Below are 14,546 nucleotides of genomic sequence, written 5' to 3' on the forward strand. Positions count from 1 at the left end.
AGGAATAAAAGAAAATGTGAAAATTAAACGTTTGAGAAATAATTCAACAGCATTAGTAACAAAAAGAATCAACATAAAATTACGAATTACTTATTTTCACTGATCAAACTGAAAAATATTTTAAAAGTTTGCGTTTTCATTGCTGGCAGAAAATGTTGAAGTATGCACCTAACAGGATTACTAGGAGGTCAAAAAATTACTGTAGGCTTTATGGAGGGTGATTTGACAATTGCTTTGGAAGTGAACATACCAATTGCCTCAATACTTTCTCTCCTATGTATTTATCTCAAGCAAATAAACTAAAAAATTAGAGGCTTCTCTGAGATAGACATTTCTATCTCAGAAAAAGTTCAAGCAGAAATAAGTGGCTGACTAGTGAGAATTTCAGTGAAACTTTCTCATAAAGATAATGGTAGGATGAAATGCAGTATCACATCTGAAATGTTAAGAATTAACTGTATGCTGTAGAAACAGAACTACATTAGAACTATGAAGATGTTCTAGGTCCTAATTATAGTAGCAATAATAATAAAATTAATGGCTCATATTTATTAAGCTCTCAATGTGTGCCAAGCACTGTTTTAAGCATATTTGCATGTTAACTCATTAATACTACAAAATGCCTCTGTAATGTGGGTGTTACAATTCTCACTCACCATGAGCAAAATAAGGCACAGAGTTTCCAAGCACCCTGCTGCAAGGCAAGCAGTGCATAAGTCACAGAACCAAGGTCTTAACCAGGCCACTGTGTCCACAGTCTTATCTCCTACTTTGCCTTTCATGAACTGGCTTTGCTTGAAGTCAGTACCTGAATGTTGTTTCTCTTTAACTCCGCTCTAGTAACTCACCAGATCTGTATGCCCTTCCCAAGTTACAAAACACTTGCAGCCACAGTTATGTTATTTCATTTTCTCAACAAGCCTTTGGAAAGGGTGAGATAGCAATATTACCCATTTGTGTGGAAACTAAAGCTCAGAGGGGTTTGTTTTGTCTTAGAGACTTCACAATGAAGTATGGGAGACACTCCTGCTATAACTCAATGGCTCCCAACTGAATACAGGCTGCTAAGCTCAACTTGGACCTACCTGAGATGCCCTTTGATGACAGATGCATGTTATTGCACCTGCAATATTTCTCAGTCAGAAAGATGATATGATTCTATGTGTCCAGCTTGTCTTGTGCACACCCGTTTTCTACTGTTTGTGTTCTAGAATGCCAACTGTTTGCTTCATTATTGTTTCAAGGATCTATCACCCCATCATAAACTACTCCAAATTAGGAGCTTAAAGCAATCATTTATTTGCTCACCACTTTTGTATCAGCAATGCAGACAAGCTAGGATGAGAGGGGCTTTCTCTGCTCCACGATGTTTGGATCCTTGGCTGGGATGTCACAAATAGTGGTGACTCAACTGGGATCACACACCTCAGGCCTCTGTGGTCACTGGCGGCCTGGTTACTTGGGTCATCCCTATCCACATGGCTTGTGTGAGCTTCCTCACGGCATGGCAGCCGCATAGTGGCTGGAGTTCTTACACAGTGCCTGGTTTTCCCCAGAGAGAAAGCAAAAGCTGTTGGACCTCTTATAGACGGTGACTGGAATCATCACAGTGACCCGTTACCACCTTCTCTTGTTCAAGGTAAGTTATACTGCTAGCCCAGATACAAAGGGAGGAGAAATTGACTCCCTTTCTTAACAGTTTGAGTGTAATGTGCGTAGAAAGAGGAATAATATTTATGATAGCCATCTCTGGAAACTATCATAACAATTAGATCTCTTATTAAAAAATTAATATAAGCATTTGATAAAAAATTCAAATCGTGTAGATATATCTACTGCATCCAATGCTAAGAGATCTTTGTGATTTATGCACTGTGCACTTGCATTGCATAGAGAGAGGGAAGATGTGGGATTTCTTTTTGCCCAAATAGAAACATACTATATATGCTCTTCTGCACTTTATTTTTATATGGGGGCAGGATGTAGGTCTGATTAACTTTTGCATTTCTGCCATACTGCCAAGTCTATTTGTGGAAATGTGTTTTTTAGTAATGTTTTCCAAAGGTATTAAATTAGGAGACACAAACTCCAATGCCCATAGCAGCCTAACAAGTGATATAAATGAGTGTCAGAAACCAGGCTAAGGCAATTGGGAGTGGTGGGGACTGCGGTGTCCTGAAGATCTAATGCCACCTCTGAGGCAAGCAGCTGCTACTCTGCTCCTGGCCTTTGCTGCTATGCAGAAACACAGGCCCAGCATTGCCACATCTTCTAAACTTTTAAAGAGTAGCCTGAAACCCAGGACCCTGCATATAAAACCCCCTGAACTTTGGCTATTGAAAACCAATGTGATTTTAAAAGCAATGACATGTAGGCCAAGAAAATATACCTATAGGCTGCATTCAGCCTTGAGTCCGCCAATTTACACCTTCTACAATGTTCTCATTGAGGAACCCCAGTGGGTACCATGACTCCCTCCTTCTAAGCTGTCTTTCCTAGGTTTCATCTTCCCACATATGGGCAATGTTAGAGGCACTTCTGCCTCATTTTATAAAATTTGGCCATTTTCTACCAGGCCTTAAAGAGAAGAAGAGATGGAGTTAAGTGAGAAAAATATGGCTATGTGGGGAGTAAAGTGAATATTCCAAAAGTAAGTATCCTCTGGGATTGAAGAACGAACGAAGTGGACAATTATTCAAGTGACTCTTCTGTCTAAACTGGCCTTGGGTAAGAAAATATGCCCGTAGGCTGCTCTGTATTTTTCTACTCTGGGTGGCCTAGCAGCCTACCTGGCCCAGGTGATGGCTTTCAGGGACCACACTTTAGCTGGGCAATGCACAGCTTTTCCGGGTTGTTATGTACAATTTCAGACTAACCCTCAAGGTCTACCCAGGATGATTAATCTTGAAATAATTTCAGATGCCATTTATTATGGCTTGGAGCTTAGGAATATCTTCAGACCCATTGATGGGAACACTGACTCCTGAGCACAGTCATTTGAGGTGTCTTTAAACAGAAAATTTCAATGTTATCTCAGTTGGGACACACTTTTTCAAAAGCACGATCGGTTGCCAAGAATAACAGGACTTCATATTGCAGAGTGAATTCAGAGGATCAAACTCCAGGAGCCTTCGGATGTCTGATTATTGGATCATCCTGTCTGGCTGCATAAGATGCATCCACGATATTTACTTGGTGCCCACAATATTCCAGGATTGTCCTAGTTGCTTATACGTATTTGTTCTGATTTTATTGGTGTGTAAAGGAGCCCTTGCCATCTTTTCTTTTTTTTTCTTTCTTTCTTTTTTTTTTTTTTTGAGACGGAGTCTTGCTCTGTCACCCAGGCTGGAGTGCAGTGGCGCAATGTCGGCTCACTGAAAGCTCCGCCTCCCGGGTTCACGCCATTCTCCTGCCTCAGCCTCCCGAGTAGCTGGGACTACAGGTGCACGCCACCACGCCTGGCTAATTTTTTATATTTTTAGTAGAGACGGGGTTTCACCGTGTTAGCCAGGATGGTCTAGATCTCCCGACCTTGTGATCCGCCCGCCTCGGCCCTTGCCATCTTTCTACTTGAAAATGAGATTGAAAGTTGTTTCAGCTCAGATCTGAACTAAACACTTTTTATGAACCAAAAGTTCCCACCCGCGGGGCTTAAGAGTTGCATTAGTGCCAAATAATTGACTTAATTATTTTTAGCTTAATGAAAAATGTCTCATTTTCTACTTGATTGATTGATTCTGTATCCTTTTAAAAATTTTTTTGGTATGACACAACTGTCTGAACTATGTCTAGCTCTGTTTATATTCTGACTTGGAGGAATTCTGGGAGCCAAATCATAGCTAAACGTGTGAATCTTCACTAATCGAAATGGGTGGAATTTTCTGTAAAGATGCAAACTGGCTTGACTGTGTCCAGTTATTGCTCCTGAATCCTAACTGCAGTGAATGGAGGGAGGGGCAGTGTACTACGCGAGAGGGTGGGTCCTGAAAACTAGACATCCCTGGGTGCTAGCCCTGTGTTGAACCTCTTTCTCGTGCAGATTTGGACAAATATTTATTCTGCACTTTAGTTTCCTTATCTGTAAAATGAATATGATAAGAATTATGTTTACTTACAATATAAACCTCTTCAATGAGTAGAAGCAGTGAGAGACATAGTATAAGTAATCAATACACGCTAAATGTCTCAGAAGTCATCTTAGAACATTAGTAGAATGTATTTTTTATAGTTTGATTTTAAATTCACAAATAGTAACTGTATATATTTATAGAACAAAATGTGATGTTTTGATACCTGTATACATGGCGGAATGATCCAATTAGGCAACTTAGTATATCATCACCTCAAATATGTATCATTTCTTTGTTATATGAACATTACGTGTTTTTGGACTAAGTGAAACAGAGACTGTTTGGAAAGCCATAGAAAGTAGCCACCCTCTTTTTATCCTCACACCAAAGAAAAGCTGACCACTTGCTAACCAGCCCACTTATTTCACCTTAAAGTAAATTGAATCTGGAACCCTGGATCATTCTATGAAATTTTCCAAAAAGCTAGTCAGAGGCCGGGCACCGTGGGTCACACCTGTAATCCCAGCACTTTGGGAGGCTGAGGCACGCGGATCACCTGAGGTCAGGAGTTCGAGACCAGCCTGGCCAACATGGTGAAACCCTGTCTCTACTAAAAATACAAAAATGAGCCAGGCTTGGTGGCGGGTGCCTGTAATCCCAGCTACTCAGGAGGCTGAGGCAGAATAGCTTGGTCCCGGGAGGCAGAGGTTGCAGTGAGCTGAGATCCCGTCATTGCACTCCAGCCTGGGTGACGAGAGTGAAACTCCATCTCAAAATAATAATAATAATAATAATAATAATAATTAAAATCTAGTGAGAAAGCAAAGTAAACTCAAGGAAGTCCTGGCTTTGCGATTTTGTTTTGTTATTCCTAAGCACTGCCTCACCTGCTCTAGCGTGGGAGCTGAGTCGTCAAGGGGAAAGACAATGAAATTGCTCTAAGTTATCATCTCTCCAGGCATTGTTCTGTAATAACTGTCACTGTTAACAGAAGAGGCCTCCCTCCTGCAGTGGGAATACCAGGGGTGGGCACTGTCAAGAGACCCAGCTTTGACTTCAAATGCCACCCAGAGGGACAACTGCTCACTTTCAGAGCAGGAGCAGGAGGCCAGAGGAGAGTGTGAGTCTAACATCTGCACAGTGAGAAGTCCAGGAGAAGCAAAAATGAGATCCAGGCTGGAGCGGCTGTGCCAGAGTAACTGTTCCAGCGGGTGTGGGGGAGGGTCCCCCAAAAAGACTTACCTGGACTGAATGGGAAATAATAGAAAATAGGAGCAAGAGACTGTCACTTTATAATAGGTTCTGTTATGACCTCCTACAACAATATGTTAGAAATTATGATTTCTAATATGTCTATGATACAGATAGACATATAGTTAGAAAACTAAATAAAGAGACAGATTTTGAGCTAGGTATACTTACAGATACAGACATTGATATCATAGATAAACATGTTCTTTATTTTTATATTGTCAATGTTTGTGTTGCTGGAAAAAGGGGTCCCTATGATCCAGACCTCAAGAGAGGGTTCCTGGACCTCCCACAGAAAGGGATTCAAGGTGAGTTGTAGAGTGTAGTGAGAAGAGATCATTTATTGAAAATTCTTCAGATTCAGAGTAGGGTGTCCTCAGAAAGCAAGAGGAGGAATGCCCTGTCTTTGTTTTAAACTCTTCTTACACAGGGGTCTCATCTACATAAAAGCTAAGCTATCTCTGTGTGTGGGTGGGCTGACAATGTGACAAGATGTAGTACTTTGGCCATTTAAAGAAAGTTATCCTTGGCATTTTAGTTTATAAGTACATGAAAGCATGATTGTACATTTCTTAAAAGCATATATTGTTATGTGATATTGGGACATGTGGACTTTCTGCTGTTGTAGGAGTTTGTCCTTGCAGGCATTGCCAAGCGGTTTCCTCTGCAGTAAACATCTTATGACCACGGGTCATAACTGGCAAGGAATGTGTGTTGCGAGTTTAAAGATGGAGTTAATTTTAAAATGGTGACACCTGGCTCTCTAGGCGCCTGCTTTTCTAACTTTTCTAGGTATAAACCTAATCTTCCTTGCTAGATCACAACCTCCAATGATCTATTTTTCATCTTCAGTTGTCCCAAGCACTAGCTTGTTCTGCGAGCGTCTCGTGGTCATGGAAAACTGATAAAGCACAGCATGAGAGGCTCAATGGATAAGAAATTATAAAGAATCACTAAATTTGCATAGGTGTTTTGATTGTGACCTACCGAGGAAGGAAGTGGAGAGGGTGTGTGGGAGGGAGGACAGCAGATGTGTAGACACGGCTTCATTTGCCTCCCACCGGGAATTTTGCCCGAGACTTATGGAGAGAATGGCCATTGGCAGAGACTGAAAGAGTTGATTTGATTCTCTGAGGCCTGATGCACTTGGTGAATTGTTTTGGGGTCTCTGTGGCATTAGGATAGGGGCTTTTTTTCTTTTTGTTTGTTTTGTTTTGTTTTTTTGGTCAAATGTCCTGTGTTTCAGGTTTCAACCAAGACTTTGGGAAACCAGGACTACTTGAAACCCTGATGGACTGCAGTGTTCAAAGAAGGAGGGAACAAAACCCTCTGGAAACCTCTGGAATTAGTGGCTGGGAAATAGCCCTTGGTTACTCTATGGACAGCAGATGTCCCAGACAGAGCCAGAGCCTAAGAACATGGGAGGTTTTTTCGTTGTGGTTTTTGTTTCTGTTTTGAGACAGAGTCTCGCTCTGTCACCCAGGCTGGAGCACAATGGCATGATCTGGGCTCACTGCAACCGCTACCTCCTAGGTTTCAGCGATTCTCATGCCTCAGACTCCCGAGTAGGTGAGATTATAGGCGCCCACCATCACGCCTGGTTAATTTTTATTTTTTATAAAAATGGGGTTTCACCATGTTGGCTAGGCTGGTCTCAAACCCCTGACCTCCAGTGATCCACCTGCCTTGGCCTCCGAAAGTGCTGGGATTACAGAGCCGCTGTGCCTGGCTAACATGGGAGGTTTTTAAATATCTGTGTTTCCAGAATGAACCGGTGAGTCTTTGAAGTCCTTGTATGAACAGGACTGGGCACAAGTCAACCAGAATAATTTGCAGACATGCAAGCTGTTTGTATCCAGCGGATCAATAGCAACCTGTTTTAGCTTTCCATCTTTCTTTAAGGAAATGTCCTATCTCCAATACTACTGTGAAATTCTAGAGCATAAGAAGAGAATAAAGTCTTGATGTACGGTTTGGTTGGTAGGCAGAGCTCCACCCCACCATCTCCTTGGTGACAGTGCCCCACTCGTGAGAAGGGTACTGTTTCTTCCCTGGTGTTAGTGTTACCTAGTATAATGCCTATGTGACATAGCTGAATTTCTACCCTATCCTAACTCTGCTACTCTTTAAGGATGCCTGCAATAAAAAGTTCCCTTTTTAACCAGACCAGCTGAAACTGATTAGAGCCAAGATAGCCAACCAAATGACTTCAGGAAGACCTCAGGCTTCATTATCATCTCATTTCCATGCTAAAAAAACCCAGCTCCCTAGAACAATGGGAAATATTGGGCACTTCATCAGGCGAGTTCAGGTGCATTTCTAGAGATTGTCCAGGTGAGTCAAAGAGCAAATGCCATGAAGTAGCCTCAGCCCTTTGGGTCATGGGAAACCATTTTTGAAATAATATTACATATTTGTCAGAGTTTGAGCTGGGCAAGGGATTAGCCTTTTCTCCAACTTCACAATCAGATTAAGAGGAAACAAAGCCTCAGGACAAATTCTGCCATACACATGAGTATTTGATAATTAATACATATTATCAATAGGAACACAGCGGTCCATACATTCTGTAAACTGTACGATACCCAGATCCTCTATCCTTGTAAGTGATCCAACTACACATTCTGTAATGGTCTCTCAGGCTGCAATAACAAAATGACACAGCCTGGATGGATTAAACAACAGAAAGGTATATCTCATAGTTCTGGAGGCTGGAGGTCAAAGACGAAGGTGGGGTGCTGGCTGGCTCAGTTTCTTCTGAGGTCCCTCTGCTTGGCGTGCAGATGCCACCTTCGTACTGTGTCCCAGCTTGGTCTCTTCACTGTGCGTATCTCTCATGTCTCTTCCTCTTCTAGGAACACAAATCAAACTGGATTAGGCTCCATTGTTAGGACCTCCGTTAATCTTCATTAGTTCTTTAAAGGACCCTATATCCAAGTACAGTCACATTGGAGGTTCAGACTTCAACACATGAGGCCTGGCGTGGTGGCTCATGCCTCCAATCCCAGCATTTTGGGAGGCCAAGGTGGGTGGATCACCTGAGGTCAGGAGTTCGAGACTAGCCTGGCCAGCATGGTGAAACCCTGTTTCTACTAAGAATACAAAAATTAGTTAGGTGTGGTGACACATGCCTGCAATCCCAGCTACTTGGGAGGCTAAGGCCGGAGACTTGCTTGAATCTGGGAGGTAGAGGTTGCAGTGAGCAGAGACCACCTCACTGCACTCCAGCCTGGGGAACAGAGCAAAACTCCATCTCAAACAACAACAAACAACAACAACAACAACAAAAAGAAAACAAAGACTTCAACACATGAGTCCTTCAACACATAACACATGCCATAAAAGATCCCCATGGGACAGTTATGACAATGTTCTAAAAGAAGAAATCCATCACAGTTGGCATCTGGCAACCTGAATTTGCCATCTCAGTGACTGGATGGAGGGTGGTTTAGGGGTTTGACTTCATGTGCTCTCCCTACAAGTATAGAGTATGGGGCTTATGAGATGGTGAGACCTTGTTTTGCAGGTGTGAGGAGTGACTGATTCAGTTTATTCCATCTGCCTTTCTCGTCAATGAAAGCCCATTTTCTACATCCATGTTGCTAGAGAACACACCACTACACTTTCCAAGGAAATAGCATTTCTAGATGAATTACACTAGCTAGTGAGACCTCCAGTGTTGAGCAGACATAGAAAATGGCAGCTGACAGGCTTTAGTGAGAACTTCTGGACTGTGGACTTTCTAATTGGGCATTTGCTAATCAATGCAGGAATGTGAGTGTTTGATTACTGAAACTGCTACCCCAGGAGGTGAATTAAAACTAATTACCTTCATAGAAGCAGAGAGTATAAGGATGGTTGCCAGGGCCCGCAGGGAAAGGAAAATAGGGAGATATTGGTCAAAGGGTACAAAATCTCACTTATGCAGGATAAATAAGTTGTGGAGATCTATGTACTGCATTGTGACTATAGGTAATAATCCTGTATTATATACTAGAAATTTGCTAAGGATTGAAATATTAAATGCTCTCACTAAACACACACACACACAATGGTAATTATGTGAGATGAGATATGTTAAATAGCTCGATTGTGGTAATTATTCCACAATGCATATGTATTTCCAAACATCATGTTGTACACCTTAAATGTCTACAATTTTATTTATCAATTGTATATGGATAAAGATAGAAATTTAAATAAAATATATACTCTTTTACATCGCATTGTCAGAACTAAAGAAGAAAGGAGACTTCCAACATCATGACATGAATCGTTTCTGATGATGTCTAAATCTCCTCACAATTCCAACATCAGTTCCACTTTCCTTGAGAAAAATAAACCAGAATCTTTGTTTGGCTATAATGTTTCCGACAGTCTGAAAAAGAAAGGACTATCTTATTAGTAGCATCCAGAATTTTAGTTTTGCATATTAAGAAAGGTGCCGAACACCCTAATCTCTCTTTTTATGTGGATTATGGACCCAGGGAATTTGATACCCATTCTGAGAAATTGTGTAAAATTGAGTAATTCCAATTAGGTCTTTAAATTGAACAATGGTGACAACACCAGCTCTTTTTCCCTAGTAAAATAAACAAGGAAATATTTAAAGAAGGAGGATGCTTGTGTGGTAAGAGTTATTAAGAAATTATTTTAGGCGGATAGAGATAAAAAGGGGTACTTGGGAAATTTTCATTTTTAAAGACATTTCCTGTCTAGCTGGAAAGCCCCAGCTGTTAGAGCCAGGTGGGCAGCCTTTGATAAGCAAATGAGAGCCATTAGAAACTAGGTCCACCCACACATGGGGATTCTGGCTGCCTTCTTGCCCTTGCCCCACATGTTCCTGGCAACATGGCCACCCCCACATATCCCCACGTGTGTGGAACATCATGGCGGCCTGTATTTGCATATTCAAAGGCTAGGGTGGGAGGGTCAGTTTTTTCCAGGGCTACGTAAATGACATGCCTGGTCAAACCTATCCCCTAAGCCCTATGCAAATCAGACACCGCCTCCTCCAGCCTCTACATATACCTGGCAGGTATCCACCCAACTTGGGGTTTCCTCTTTTGGGTTTGGAGACTCCTCCTCTCTGTCTCTGTACGAGGGAGCTTCTTGCTTTTGTCTTCTCCCTTCCTTCTTGCCTATTAAACTCTCCGCTCCTTAAAACTACTCCACGTGTGTCCCTGTAGTTTTTTTCTAATTTGACTTGAGAAGAAGAATCTGGTGTTCCTCCACTAATCAGAGCCATATCACCTTCAGGTGCTGGTAACAATAATAGAGAACCATCCATATCCACAAGAGGCAGAACCTCTTCCAGCAAAATGGTGCTGCCTCACCCAAAGGTAATTAGTGGCTATCGGGGCAGACAATTGTTGATGTTGTTCATGTCCCAACTCATTTGTTGGGCTCACAGTAACAAATTTTATTTTGATTTAGTTATTTTTATAACCTGGGGATTTTAATGAGGCTTTCCTTCTGACCAGTTAGAGCATCAGAAACCCACCCTCTTCCCTGCTGCTGTCATTAGGAACCAGGAGGCACATGAGTGGGGCTTCTCCAAGCCTCTTCACTCCATCCCTCTGACCATGGTGGCCACAGTTAAGTGTTAGGATTTTGAATAGGTTGAGCTGATTATTATGAATTTTCAATAAGGTGGAGCTGATTATTAGTATGAGTTCTGGGACTCCTAAGAAATTACCAGATAAAGATACTACATTTTTTCCTCAGGTATCACTAAGCATATAGATTATAGAAGCCTGAGATGGTGAGTGGAATCTGAAAATGAAATCTAACATTTACCAAAGATACAGAGAAGGAGGAAGAGACTGGATTCGTTGTTCCGGCCCCTGAGTCTAGTCAGTCAGTTCTACTCTTGGGCTTTGTAGTTCTGTTCATCAGTGAACTCTTCTGTTTTGTTGAAACCAGTTGGAGAAGGGTTTCCAGAAACCTGCACTTGAAGAGCATCAGCTGGCACAGAGATCTTGGCTGAACCCACTGCTGTGTTTGACTAGGAATGAGAGTGGGCACACGGAGAGGGCAGCCCACCAGGCAGGTGTGTCTCACATCACTGGGGAGCCCTTTTCATTCAAAGATGACCAGCTTATAAAAGATCAGTGATGGGAAGTCCCAGGTAGGGCCCCCAGGACCTACAGCAGGGGCCAGCAAAGAATGGTCAGCCGTCTCTCTACTGGGTCAGAAAGAAATAATGAAAGGGGCTGAACTTGGCCATGTGAGCTGTCCAGCATGGATGCCAGACCAGACCAAAATCCAGATTCAGACAGCTGCTCCCTATAGCAGGGGAAACCCCAAACACAGACAAGACAAAGCAGCAGAGCAACTTCCTTACCCAGACCACTGGCAGTCCCAATCCTTCTCCACCCCTCAGGTTGCCTGGTTACTGGACATGCGGACATTCACTTTGATTATGCTCCATTCGAGAATGCTAGAATGAAAATGTGGGTAAATGGTGAAGGAATTCAAGGAAAAGAAAATGCACCCACCATGTTTATGTTATAATACCATGCTGGACCAGACATTTTGTCATTCAAGGATGAATGTGTTACAGGGGTCCTTGCTCCCAGAGCTCCCAAGATGGTGGTGGCTGCTTCCAAGATGGCAGTGGCTTCCAAGATGGTGGGTGGCTTCCAAGATGGTGGCAAGCCTTGTGTTCTCTGACCTGGAGTTCTTGGCCTCACAGATTCCAAGGAATGGAATCTTGGGCCATGTGGTGAGTGTTATAGCTCTATTAGAAGCAGTGGGTCATGGAAGAGAACCATGGAACCCAGTAATTAGTGTTTAGCTCAATTAGGACGAACCCAGGCACTTAACTGTGCAGGAGCAATGGCAAGCCTTTAGCCCGATGGAGAGGGGCAATGGGTGCCTCACTTGATCAGGAGTACAGCAGACACCCTGCTGGATCTGGAGGGATGGAAGTCAGCGGCGGGTCTGCAACAGCGGCCAGCAGCAGTGGTGGACGGCGAGCAAAAGCCCAGCTCCAGCCATAACAAACACAGACCAGAAGAGTGCAGTTCCAAGATTTAATAGAGTGAAAACAGAGCTCCCATACAAAGGGAGGGAACCCAAATGGGGTTGCCGTTGCCAGCTCGAATGCCTGGTTTATATCCCGATCATTGTCCCTCCCGCTGTGCTCCCACGCAATAGATGATTGGCTATTTCTCTACCTCCTGTTTTTGCCTAATTAGCATTTTAGTGAACTCTCTTTACTCTCTGATTGGTCAGGTGTGAGCTAAGTTGCAAGCCCCATGTTTAAAGGTGGAAGTGGTCACCTTCCCAGCTAGGCTTAGGGATTCTTAGTCGGCCTAGGAAATCCAGCTAGTCCTGTCTCTCAATTGGATGTGGGCCATCAAAAAGTTTCACCAACATAATAGGAAGGAAAATATACAATCTTAAGATGCAATGGGAGATGTTTTAACAAGGATTTTTACTAAAGGAAACTTCTTTTTTCCTTTTGTATAAAATTTCTGTGAACCCAGAAAATCTGAGACAGGTCTCAGTTAATTTACAAAGTTTATTTTGCCAAGGTTGAAGACACGCTGCTGATAGCCTCAGGAAGTCCTGATGACATGTGCCCAAGGTGGTTGGGGTACAGCTTGGCTTTACACATTCTAGGGAGACATGAGATGTCAATCAATATATGTAAGAAGTACATTAGATCCATCCAGAAAGACAGAGACAACTCAAAGCAAGCTTCCCCCTCCCACACTGAGAGCTTTCAGGTCACAGGTAGGTGAGAGACAAATGGTTGCATTATTTTGGGTTTCTGATAAGTTTTTCCAAAGGAGGCAATCAGATACGCATCTATCTCTGTGAGCAGAGGGGTGACTTTGAGTAGAATGGGAGGCAGGTTTGCCTTAAGCAGTTCCCAGCTTGAAAGGGCCCAGGATATTTTCCGTTCACATTTCTTAGACAGCCCAGACTTTATACCCACAAATAGGCTGCCCCTGTGGGCAGAGGTAAGAGAGTTTTCTTTCTTTTCACTGAGGCACCTGAGCAGCTTAGCTGTAAATATTGTCTTTGGTCCTCATCTATTTTGGAACTGAAGGAATTAAGGAGAGAAACCTGGGCAAAAATTTAAGAAGCTGAAAACAGTTAAGTTGAGTGACAGTACTCAATTTCTCCCATCTCCTGTGTGTATTATTAAAGTAAAAGGTTGAGGTAGATAAAAGCGTTCACTCTGGCCCAGAAACTCCCCTGTTTTTGTGATAGTGAATAAGTCTCATGAGATCTATATAGTTTTATAAAGAGGAGTTCCCCTGCACACGCTTTCTCCTGCTTGCTGCCATGTAAGACATGCCTTTCACCTTCTGCCATGATTCTGAGGCCTTTCCAGCCATGTGGAACTGTGAGTCCATTATCCTCTTTTTCTTTATAAATTACCCAGTCTTGAGTATGTCTTTATTAGCAGCATGAGAAGAGACTAATACATCCCCTCCACCCCCTCTGCTGCCTCATTTTTCACCAATATCCTGTCTTGAAGCCTTCACAAAGTATAAAATTGATTCTTCCAAAGGCATGGGTTATATACACCATGTAGCTAAGAGAAGGTAGGGAGGAGAGTGTTTTCTCACAAATTAGCACATCCCAGAAAACACGTGGAACAAATGAATCCAGAGATACCCAGAACATCTGCAGTGAAGCTTGTTTAGAAACTTAATCATGAAAGTTCTCCATGGAGAGAATTTCTGGAGTCAGGCAGGCATTTTTTTTTTCTTTTTTTTTCCTCCCTGTAATTGTGCCTCTTATTCCAGAGACAAATGGAATTTTTCTTTGGGGTTCTAAGGCCAAGGTAAGTTCTGTGCCTTAGGATCAGGCATTGCCATTGATGTCAGCAGCAAAGATGGATTCATTATTAATGCTCCCATAGATACTTAAAATTCAGAAGTCAGAAACCAAAGAGGACCCTTAAAAAATCTCCATGCTGTCAAGCCAGCACTTAGACATTTTCTTTCTTTGGTTACCATCATGGAAATGAAAAAAAAAATAAAAATCTCAAAATAGCTACAAAATTGGACCTGCTCAAAATATCAATAATTTACATTAAAAATGGATTCTGGAAGTCAACTTCTGATTTTAAGGTGGCTTATTTCATCCTGGTGTACCCTTTCTCCCATTTGTTTTTCTTTTTTCTTTTCCTGCTCTCTTCAAGGCCTGATACAAAGCTCTGTCATAATCAGTAACCGTTTTTCTGTGTGTGAGTACTTTAAT

The 14,546-nt window shown here is 42.4% G+C and overlaps 2 long non-coding RNA genes across 2 annotated transcripts in view, besides 1 other annotated feature; one reads left to right on the forward strand and one right to left on the reverse strand.

The window, feature by feature from the left end:
- Window positions 1-11,929, reverse strand: part of LINC02825 (long intergenic non-protein coding RNA 2825) — a 48,536-nt gene extending 36,607 nt beyond the window's left edge. The window contains exons 1-2 of the long non-coding RNA NR_147498.1: window positions 11,822-11,929; window positions 8,022-8,172 (exon numbers count right to left, since the gene is read on the reverse strand). This is a non-coding gene — a long non-coding RNA (long intergenic non-protein coding RNA 2825). The remainder of the gene's footprint in view (window positions 1-8,021; window positions 8,173-11,821) is intronic.
- The window catches only part of LINC02347 (long intergenic non-protein coding RNA 2347), a 30,305-nt gene continuing 20,841 nt past the window's right edge, over window positions 5,083-14,546 (forward strand). Inside the window, exons 1-4 of the long non-coding RNA NR_130748.1 lie at window positions 5,083-5,190; window positions 5,568-5,629; window positions 7,487-7,655; window positions 10,581-10,663. This is a non-coding gene — a long non-coding RNA (long intergenic non-protein coding RNA 2347). The remainder of the gene's footprint in view (window positions 5,191-5,567; window positions 5,630-7,486; window positions 7,656-10,580; window positions 10,664-14,546) is intronic.
- Window positions 10,605-11,804: an enhancer, noted in NCBI's record as "BRD4-independent group 4 enhancer chr12:126932549-126933748 (GRCh37/hg19 assembly coordinates)". NCBI's record gives its function as "activates an origin of replication core promoter dependent on BRD2, P300/CBP, MED14 and CDK7 cofactors, and independent of BRD4, by STARR-seq in HCT116 cells {active_cell/tissue: HCT116}" and the evidence as "EXISTENCE:reporter gene assay evidence [ECO:0000049][PMID:35650434]".

The sequence above is a fragment of the Homo sapiens genome, chromosome 12 (genome assembly GCF_000001405.40).
Source record: "Homo sapiens chromosome 12, GRCh38.p14 Primary Assembly".
Lineage (NCBI taxonomy): Eukaryota > Metazoa > Chordata > Mammalia > Primates > Hominidae > Homo > Homo sapiens.